Below are 10,924 nucleotides of genomic sequence, written 5' to 3' on the forward strand. Positions count from 1 at the left end.
ATTTCCATCATGTGACCCTTGCTGTTTTCTTTTTGTGTAAACATGCTTTTAACAAGGATTAGACAAGAATCCAAAATAATCAGATTTTACGAGAAAAGAATGTATCAATATTTTGCTCTTTCAGAATATAAAATAAATATTTTGATCTTCATATCTTGACAATGTTTTTTTCCCAAACCTTTTTTGGTTTTCAAATTACTGGTACCAGAAAAAAAAAAAGTACTGGCATTAATTTAGTCTCTACTTTCGGAAATATTTTTCTAATACCTTAAAATCTCTGTATATTCTTGTGAATAACACATTATGGCCTTTATTTCCTAAGGAAGTAGAAAAGCCTACAACTCTACAAAATAATGCTTTATATTAATAAAATATCTGCTATTTCCTAAACTCTAAATTTTGCACTTTCCACTATCTATGCAAATTATTTTTCAAAAAATATTATGATTATGTGGTACAAACTTTTATTATCATTACTTGGTAGATGAAGAGAATCAGAGCTTGAAGTAGATAAATACATGCTTGGGTTTGTGTTAGTCCATTTTCACACTGCTATAAAGAAGTGCCTGAGACTGGATAATTTATGAAGGAAAGAGGTTTAATTGACTGACAGTTTCACGTGGTTGGGGAGGCCTCCGGAAACTTATAATCATGGTGGAAGGCAAAGGAGAAACAAGGACCTTCTTCATACGGTTGTGCCAAAGAGAAGAATGAGGTGCAAAGGGGAAGAACCCCTTATAAAACCATCAGATCTCATGAGAACTCACTTACTATCACAAGAATAGCATGGGGGAAACCAACCCCATCATCCAGTTACCTCCACCTGGTCTCTTCCTTGACAGGTGGGATTATGGGGATTATGAGGAGTATAATTCAAGATGAGATTTGGGTGGTGACACAAAGCCTCACTGTATCAGGGTCATGCACTTTAAATTAGAATGCTGGAATTTGAATTCAGACTTACTCTAGGTCCTTCTTATAAACTATTGCTGCAAGAAACAGAAGTAAGCCTAGAAATTCAGCAAAATGGTTAGAAGAAAAAAACTTCTCTAGTTAAATAGCTTAGTGGTTTTGTTGACTATGCAAGTAATGTATATGTTATGAAATAGATTACCATAGAGAAGTAATTCATATATATCAGTGGTTAGCCTAAATATTACCCTAGGGAAAAATCTGGCCTCTTGCCTGCTTTTATAAATAAACATTTATTGGAACACAGCCACATGTATTACTTTCTAAGTATTGTCTATGGCTGCATTTTTGCCACGAGAACAGAATGTAGTAGTTGTAGCAGAGGCCATATGGACCACAAAGCCTAAAATATTTGCTATCTAGGCCTTTACAGAAAATATTTGTAAACATTTGATATAGATTGTTATTGAAGTTAAATAATATTTCAAAGAAGCTATTTTAACTTTTATAAAATTGTGAAGCCAAAAGGCATCTGTCTAAACTTCCAATAACAAAAAGTAAATATTTCTCGGTCATATTAAAGAAAAGGGTGAATAATCTTTCTTGTCTTCCTATGGAAAATAATATTACAAATGTATTGTCATGTAAAGGGATAAAAGATGATGTAATTAGAATGTAGAAAATATACAGATATGTCCGGAGGTTGTCCTTAAAATATTATGTTATGTGTCAGAATTTATATTTGTTTATGGTATTTTTTTCACCCATATCACAATTTAATCTTAATGAGGACAAGTTTCTTTTGTTCTTATTCACCACTTTACAGCAATGATGAGCACTCAGCATGTAATAGATGCTGATCTATAATTTGATGAGTGAAATACATTTATTTAAATGTGTTATACTCTGACACATCAGATGTGGAATAAATAAAAAGATCAAATTATACATAAAATATTAAACACTACCATGTACTTACTGTAAAAAATAACATTCTAAATTAGTGAAGAAATTTTAAAAAAGTAATTTCTAGTACTACATACAATTGAAGCTACATAAAGACAAAAAGATTAAAATAAAAAGGAATCTCGGGACAAAGGCTTATCTGGAATAATGGATTAAACAAAGACACATATAAAGGCAAAGAGTAACAGATACAAGAAATAAACCAGATGAAAGCCATGAAGAATAAATAATTTAATTTCAAATCCAAGAAGAAATTTATATCTATATTTTCTATACAAAATGTAAAGATTAGTTATATTCAAGAAGTTCATATAGCTATTCTAGATAATTAACCGTTTAAGTACCTTTACAACACCAAAAGTTGTTTTTCCTTTAAAATCACTAAAGTTAAGGGTCACAGTAAGAAAATCTCTATAATTCATGACTCACAAAACAAACAGATTATAAAAGCCCCTATTCAATTTAGCTTACATCAAGAATATACTCATATAGGTGGTAACTTTCATAGACAGGTAAATTAATTTAGGAATTAGAAGTGGTTTTACTATACCATAGATTCAACTTGATAGTATACATAAACTTGATTTTAGAGAAAAATTAGACAAATATTGCCAGAAAACTGCTTCAGTTTTCTACTATGCTTTGATGGTGAGAAAAATTTTTTAACCGCCCAGATTCTTTTTTATAAAAGTCACTGATAAAAGAATGATTCAAAGTGCTGTTTCAGCTGGCACCTGCCCACATGTTTATCTAAAACTTAACTAAAATGAGCCAGTTGTGCATGTAAGATATAATTAGCTCTCAGCCAGTTGTGGAAATATTAGAAATCCTAAAAGGGCATTTTAGAAGGTGATTTTCTACTTACAAAGAGAGTAAAAAGGAGGGAGAAAATTTTAAAAGAACACATATGTTACTGATTTGTTTCAAACTCAGGTCACCAAAAGACAAGGCCCTCCACAGGATTGAGTGACAACATCATAAGCTTCAAAGGAAATGCAAACATTTGTTTGAAAAACCGGTAAAATCCTAAGGTAACTATATTTTGTTATAAAATTCTCTCTATGCCTCTTTGACACCACAATTTCTGTACTGAAATGTTTTCTATTAAAGTCCTAAATTTCATCTCATAAAGGTATCATCAACATTCTGCATTTCATATATGCATTTCACCAAAAGTAGTGTAGATTTATCTTATTTATTAATAATATGACCCTCTACAATTCTAATAGTGTAATAATTGCACTATTTTTCTGCAGTTGAAATAAATATTACAGTAGCCATAGCTTTTAGAAGAGAAAAAATATTAAAGTGAAATATTGAAAATTACATAGATATTGTTTTACATGTAGAATTTTCCCAATTTTTATTTGAAAAACAATATTTGGTATCTTTCTAATATACTAATAGTCTGATTTGCAATTTGAAAACAATACTTCATGTAAATTAACTCAGGACATAGAAAAACATAAACCATATATTTTTTTAAAACATTCTGTGTACATAGCTCAAATTAAGACAAATAGCAAAGAAAGATATTGTTAGAGTAGGTAGGTAGTCAGGCATGAGCAGGGCAGGAGAGATAATCCTGTTCATCCCCTTCCCTGTTACATGCGTCCGTGTGAAGAGACCACCAAACAGGCTTTGTGTGAGCAATAACGCTTTTTAATCACCGGCGTGCAGGGGGACTGAGTCTGAAAAAGGAGTCAGCGAAGGAAGATGGGAGAGGGGCAGTCTTATATGACTTGGGTAGACAGTGAAAAATTACAGTTAAAGGTGGTTATCTATTGTTAACAGGGGAGGGTGTCACAAGGTGCTCGGTGGGGAACTCCTGAGACTCATTGTCCAGGGGAGGAATGTCACAAGGTCGATTGATTAGTTAGGGTGGGGAAGGAACAAATCACAATGGTGGAGTGTCATCAGTTAAGGCAGGAACTGGCCATTTCAATTCTTTTGTGGTTTTTCAGTTGTTCCAGGCCATCTGGATGTATACGTGCAAGTCACAGGGGTTATGATGGCTTAGCTTGGGCTCAGAGGCCTGACACCGACAAGACATGTCAGGCAATCCTCAGGTGATAGGCAGTTGTTAAACTGTCTCTTTAAAATAATAATTGGTCACAGCCAATGCCAGGGAAAGGCACTCTCCCAAGAGATAAACACCTGAAGCTGGTGATCAGTGACTTCCTGATATGACCTCAGGAGTGGAGCGAGTGGTCTCACGCATGCACACTAAGAGGCAAAATGGTGGAGTTTTACTGGTATATGACCTGCCTCTAAGAATACTCCACCGGTAAAGGAAAAACGCCTCAAGTGAGCATGCATAGAACTTCAGTAAACACACTGTGCACATGGCCCCTCCAAAGTGCTGGCAGACCACTCAGCATGCGGACAGCCTACCCCAAGGGAAGAATCGGGCAAGAAGAGACACAGACACCAGAAGAATGCCAACATATAAAAGCCCAAGTCAAAGGTCTAACTGCACACTCAAGTCACCCACTTGGTCCTCTTCCAAGTGTACTTTACCTCCTTTTGTTCCTGCTCTAAAACTTTTTAATAAACTTTCACTCCTGCTCTAAAAATGGGCTCAGCTTCTTACTCTGCCTTTTGTTCCCTTGGTTGAATCATTTCTTCTGAAGAGGTAAGAATTGAAGTTGCTGCAGACCCTTATGAATCATTGCTGCTAACAATACGTGCATTTACCATCTAGGGAAGCTACAAAGGAATTATTTGAAAGTGCTAGTCAAAGTGAACTAATTTTCATTACATTTAAAATATATTATAAATGATATATAACTAAATAATATACAACTGAAATGAGTGAGGTGAAAGTCTCAGTCATTGAGGTTTATTAAGCTAGCTTTCGGCATGTTTGGGGAAAAAACAAGCAACAGACCTATCTATGGCTGTTTTTCTGAAGAGGTGTTCAGAAGGTTTAATATTTATATATTTCCTTAAAGAGGGAAGGCATGTAGGAAAAGGCATAGGTAGGCAATAAGGTGAATGCTTACATTTCTGTTGGATTTTAGTTAGTGTCCAGTAAATCTACTTCTGCCTAAGATAAGGTGAATGTTTGAAGAGAAAAAGGACAGTAAAGGGTCAATTATGCAGACATCTCTGGGTAGGTAGAGGAATGAGTCTTGTCATTGTTTTGCATCAGGGAAGATAAGCTTTTAATGGACTTTAACAGTGTGGAATCAAACACTTTAGATTTAGGATCTGGGCTTAGATTGCAGACCTAAAGGTGCAGTTGGCATATTCTTGTTAATGGGGAGGCTGCAACAAATTTTACTTATGAATGATCTGTGAGGGCAGTCATTCACAGATGCCTGAGGCCTTCTACATTTCCATGGGGATCTAGCTGATACATGACGTTAGTAATAACGAAGAGGGTGTTGCATCACAGCTTCCAGGCTTAACCTTCTCTTTAGCATAAGAAGTTTAGGAATCCTGAGATTTTTTTATTTTTCTTTATAATTTATACCAAAGTTCATTGATTTTGGAAAAAAGAAAATATAGAGCATATTTGAACTATTTATAATTGTTTAGATTTTGTAGTTTACAGAATATCTTGGTGCCTATTACAGTGTTTTATTAAAGCCAAAAAATTATAGAAAAATATTAACATAAAAGCAAACCATCACATAATGAACACTTATTTCAGAGACATGTCATTATAATTTAAATAAAATTATTCTAATTTCTTAGCCCTCTGAAAAAACTCATCACATCAATTGTAATCACTAGTATTTGATTTTGGAAAAAGCTTATTTTTGCAATTCTTGACCTTATTTTCACCAAGACAGGTCTGCATGTGTTTTTATATGTTTGTATATATGTGTATATTATATTAGTTTGGCTTGAAATATTTAGTCTAGTCTGTAGATTCATATCTTTATAGGGAAGCCTTTTGTGGGGGCCAAGGCCCTTGATCCCCTAAAGGTTTGCTGAAAAATCACTGACATGAAGCAGGCCGAGTAATAGGGAAACAGTATACAAATTTATTTAAACTGTATACAGGGGTGCACTTAGAAATGAAAACCCAACCCCTTAATGAGGTAGAGAAACTTACATCTCATCTTGAGGTTACAGAAAGAATGTAGGCTCAGAACATGGCCCAAGCAAGGTTTTATAGGCAAGACTGGAGGTTGAAAGAAAGAGGCTTGGTAAGCAAAGGTGGTCTTGTTATGTAGATGAATCCTCCCAGGTAGCAGACCTCAGAGAGAATAGCAGGTTAATATTTCTTTTAGGACCTTTAAAGGTGCCAGGCCCTCAGTTAATCTTTCCCAAATCCAGGCAAGGGAAAGGTTGACGACATTAATGAAGGTTCTCTCCAGATCTAAAGATGCAAATTTTCTCCCAAAAAGACAGGTTTGCAGGGTCTCTTCAGTTCCCTGGTGCTGTGGCAGCCATTTCAAAATATGTTAAAAAAAAAACTGGCGGGGAGGGGGGGTAAAATATTTTGATTTTCTTTACTTTCATATAATATATTTCAAATATTACTACTACTAATTGTTTAGCAATTAACAAGCAATATACAAATCCTAGGCAATATTCTAAGAGCTTTACTCCTCCTAAAATGTGTCAGTTATCAAGATTTGGTCATATTATATGATTTTGTTTAAGTTATGTTGATTGTCTTAGATAAAGGAAAAGCTCAGATACTATAGTTTTTGATGAGTAATACAAAAATACCAGACTTTCCCATTTCAGAGAATTTCCGTGGGGCCTTTGGGGACATTTCTGTGTGGTTAAAAATGAGTTGTTGCTCTTTGAGACTCTGTTACAAAGAAGGAGGAATGTAGAAGAAGGGATAAATTCAATCTTTGGAGTTACACTGCCAGAAGTTAGTCTAGATAATGACACTGATTATGTTGGGTTTACATTATTTGACAGTTTTAAACCTCACATTCCTCATCCATTGAATAAAACTAATGTTTATATTGATGAAATAAAATTTATAAAGCTTAACATGTTTATGACATCAGTAAGAAATACATGAAATAGTATGTATTATTATTTAGAAGATCAAGTCTGCCATCATTTTAGCCCCCAAATTCACTTAAACCTACATTTCTTTTAAAAGCGAAAAAAGTCATGCAATTAACTAGCTTCTAATTAGTCTTTATTTTTATGCATGAATTAACTTCAAAGAAGGTTGGTGTATGTCAAGCAAAAAATGAGAAGGTTCCTAAATTTGGAAAGAAGAGCTTTATATCGCATAAAGGGTTGCAGGGTGGCCATTCTGACTGGCTGGGAAGCATAGCTTCTGGCTAGAAGCCAAACACAGAGACATCAATGCAGGGGAAAAGGAAACAGGAATCTATGCTAAACAAGTTGGCCAAAAATACATATTCAATAAGCTATAGGAGGAGTCATGAATATTTATAAAAAATAAAAATAAAACACATGCACATGCCACTTGTCCCTCTCCATGGGACCTGTGTTCAAAAAATGGTGGTGTCAGCATGATCCGAGGGTAGAGTCTTTGGCCCTGTGACATCAAAAGGTGAAGCAGGGGACAAGAAAATCCAGGTTGTGCATCTTCCGTAGATTGGCCAGATGCACTCTGTGGTTGGTGATATCTTAACAGGAAGGAATGCTGGTCAGTTGTTTTATTTAAATTGCAAAAGAGAGGGGCAGCAGCAGGCAGTTGGTTGATATTGGGGTGGAGTGCTTCTTTCCAAAAACCTAGTTTCTGTTTGACCCTTAGGAAAGAAAGTCTAACCGTGGTTACTGAGGGAAGGTATATAATGAGGCATGTTGATCGCCCACTGCTCATGGCCAGGAACTCAGTTTTCAAGGTTCCTTTGGGGTCCTTTTGGCCAAGAGGGGCTCTGTTCAGTTGGTTTGGGTGCTTAGGAGTTGATTTTTATTTCTCTGTTGATGCTTTCAAATTATTAATGTAGCTCCATATTTATGAGTTGATATATTCAAGAGATCATTCAGCACCGTGCTTGTTTGACTTTTTGAGAGCAGGGATAATAACTTATTCACTTCTGCATTTTTTGGAGTTGCACATTGCTGAGCACATTGTAGTTTCTCAATATACATTTGAGTACTGGGCAAATATATAGATGAAAAAATATTTAAATAAATTATTTCTAAATTTTATTTTTACTGAAACCAGAGACAAAACAGCATATTGAAGCAGAGCTCCAAGGCCAGATGTGGTGACTCATGTCTGTAATCCCAGCACTTTGGTAGGCCAGTGCAGGTGGATCACTTGAGGTCAGGAGTTCCAGAGCAGCCTGGCCAACATGGTGAAATCCCATCTCTATTAAAAATACAAAAATTAGCCTGGTGTGGTGACAGGTGCCTGTAATCTAAGCTATTCAGGAAGCTGAGGCAGGAGAATCACTTGAACCCAGAAGGCAGAGGTTGCAGTGAACAGAGATCACGCCATTGCACTCCAGCCTGGGCAACAAGAGTGAGATTCTGTCTGGAAAAAAAAAGAAGCAGAGCGCAGAGCTCTGGAGTTAGATGGCTAGAAGTGAAATTCAAGTTCTTCTACTTACGAATTCTGTGACCAGTTGAGTAACCACTACCATACTCATCAGCATTTTCTGCTGCAATTAGTGACCTCCAGATCTCAGTGGTTCACAAACACAAATCTTGGTTCTACAGAGTTTGCCTATGGCTATGCTTCTGCTCTGTTCAGCTGAATTCAATTCTACTTTACTCAGCCACCTATATTGAGTGCAGATCTTCACATGCAATTTTTTTCCAGAACTCAGGCTGAGTGTGAGAGTTCAAGAGGATCAAGGAAAAACACATGACACTGCCTAAAGCTTTTGCTCGGAACTGACACGCTATTACTCTACCTCACATATTGTTGGTTAAAAAACTTAAATGGCCCAGGCCAAAGTTCATCCATATAGAAAAATACTTCATCTTCCTATTGGCAGGCACAGAAAAGTCTCAGGGCAATGGGTATGAGCACATATTCATATTACAGGGAAAGGCAAAATGGTCCAATCTCTAACACTGCTTTGGCACACCTTTTCTCCCTAATTATTTTAATAAAAGTAAAGAATTAATAGAATTAATGTTTGAATTAAGGTAGCTATTATAAAAGTACACAGTACAATGACTGACAGAAATTAAATACCACATTAATAATTCCCATTAATATTTTAGCTTATTGTTCAATGGTCTCATTGATATTATGTTCCTTCCTATTTCGCTCACACAATTACTGAACAGTTTCTAATTTGAAGCTTGGGATGCATAGTCTTTAAAATGACCTCCATGATCCCTACCTTGTGATATGCATTCCTTTTGTTATATCCCCTTTTCATTCATAGATGTGCAATCAATATATTGAAAAGAGTTATGACCTGGAATAAATTGACATTGTTTTTACCTACCTAATAAAAGGAGGTGATTTCTAAGTTCCTGAAAATACAATAATATGAAATATGCATTCATTAAATTTTGCTAACCCCATTTATAACTCTTTTCCATTAAAATTCTGTCAGGAGGAAATAATATTTAATATAACATGTGCCTATGTAACATGTCATATTAAATAATATTTAATATGCTATGTTCCATAGCCACATCTATTTCACATATTTATGAATACAAAAGAAATTTAAATCCCAAGAGATTTTAATATGGACACAGATAATAAGAATGTGTTCACAAGCAAGTGTTCCTCTCTATTAACACTAAGAAATTGTCGCTATTCCACAATTATGTTTTTTTTTTTTGCACATTTTTTGTGATTTATGGAATCTTGGTATTTAACAAGATCTTAGAATTCATCTTGTTTAAACTTGCATATGAATGATGATCTAACTTTTGGTTGCATATTGAAACATCCAGAGTTCAGTACAATTAGGAATGGTTGGTTCCTATACTGGGCACCCACCTAAAATTTCTCTAGGCTAAAGATCACAGTTTACTAAAAAAAATTAAATCTTTACTTACAATGTGTACTACATTGTGGGCACATTTCTGAGTTTGTCCTTCTCCCTTTGGAATCAATTCTTTTATACACTAGGATATAATGTTGCTGCCGTTCTGACAAATAAATTTTCTATCACATAATTCTTGGTTTTGGCTTTTGAGGACATTTTAGTTTCATATTCTTCACCAAAGCTTTGAAAGAGCAAAAACAGCATCTCTAACAATTTTACTTTCCCTGGAGAACTACTTCCTTAAAACTCACTTTTCTGTTTTACACTAATGGTAGCATTTGTTCCCATTAATGATGAAATGACAATTCTTTTATAAGTGCCTTTCTGAAGAGCAGAAGGATAAACCCCTTGGATTTCCTATGGCTTCCTCCAAACATTCTGCATGCATTTGGCTCTTGCTGCTTTTGGTAAAAACATTGATATCTAAGATGAAGAACAACATATATTCAGATTACCCAGTTTCCAATAGAGTGAAGACAGTAAAAAAAACAAAAACCAAAAAACAAACAACAACAAAGCTATGTTCATAAGAAGGAGTGACTAACAATTCACAAAATAAAGTATCCAAAAGATGTTGAATCATTTTTATTTGTCAACCCAATTTGACACCTGGGTCCTCATTCTGCAGGAACTTAGATGTTAGTTTCTTCTCTAAGTTTCTATTTTTTCAGCCTGTTAACTGAAAAATCACACAATTAGAATCTTAGAAAAGATTTTTAATAAAATGTCTTATAAAATGTTATAGCCTGAAAGGTGGGCATCCGGCAGACTTGGAAGCCCAGCCTCCAGCTAAGACCAGAGACAGACAGTTTGGGAGAAGAAGGGGTAAGAGGGAAATTTAAGTTGAATGGGTTAGCTAAACATATATATTCAATAGGTTACACGAAGAGCTGTAATATTCATGAAGACAGTTCTGATACATGCCTATTAAACATGCATGTAACATACAACCCATGTTTACATTGGGGTGGAGATTTAACATTTAATTGTATTACAATTAGGTCCTATATGTCAAAAGGTCTTATTTTCAGGACACAAAGGCACTCAAGTGCACAGCCTCTGTAAACTGGCCAGAAACAGACCATGCTCATGAATGTATATCAGGAGAAAGTTACTGAAATCAATCT

The sequence above is a fragment of the Homo sapiens genome, chromosome 13 (assembly GCF_000001405.40).
Source record: "Homo sapiens chromosome 13, GRCh38.p14 Primary Assembly".
Taxonomy (NCBI): domain Eukaryota; kingdom Metazoa; phylum Chordata; class Mammalia; order Primates; family Hominidae; genus Homo; species Homo sapiens.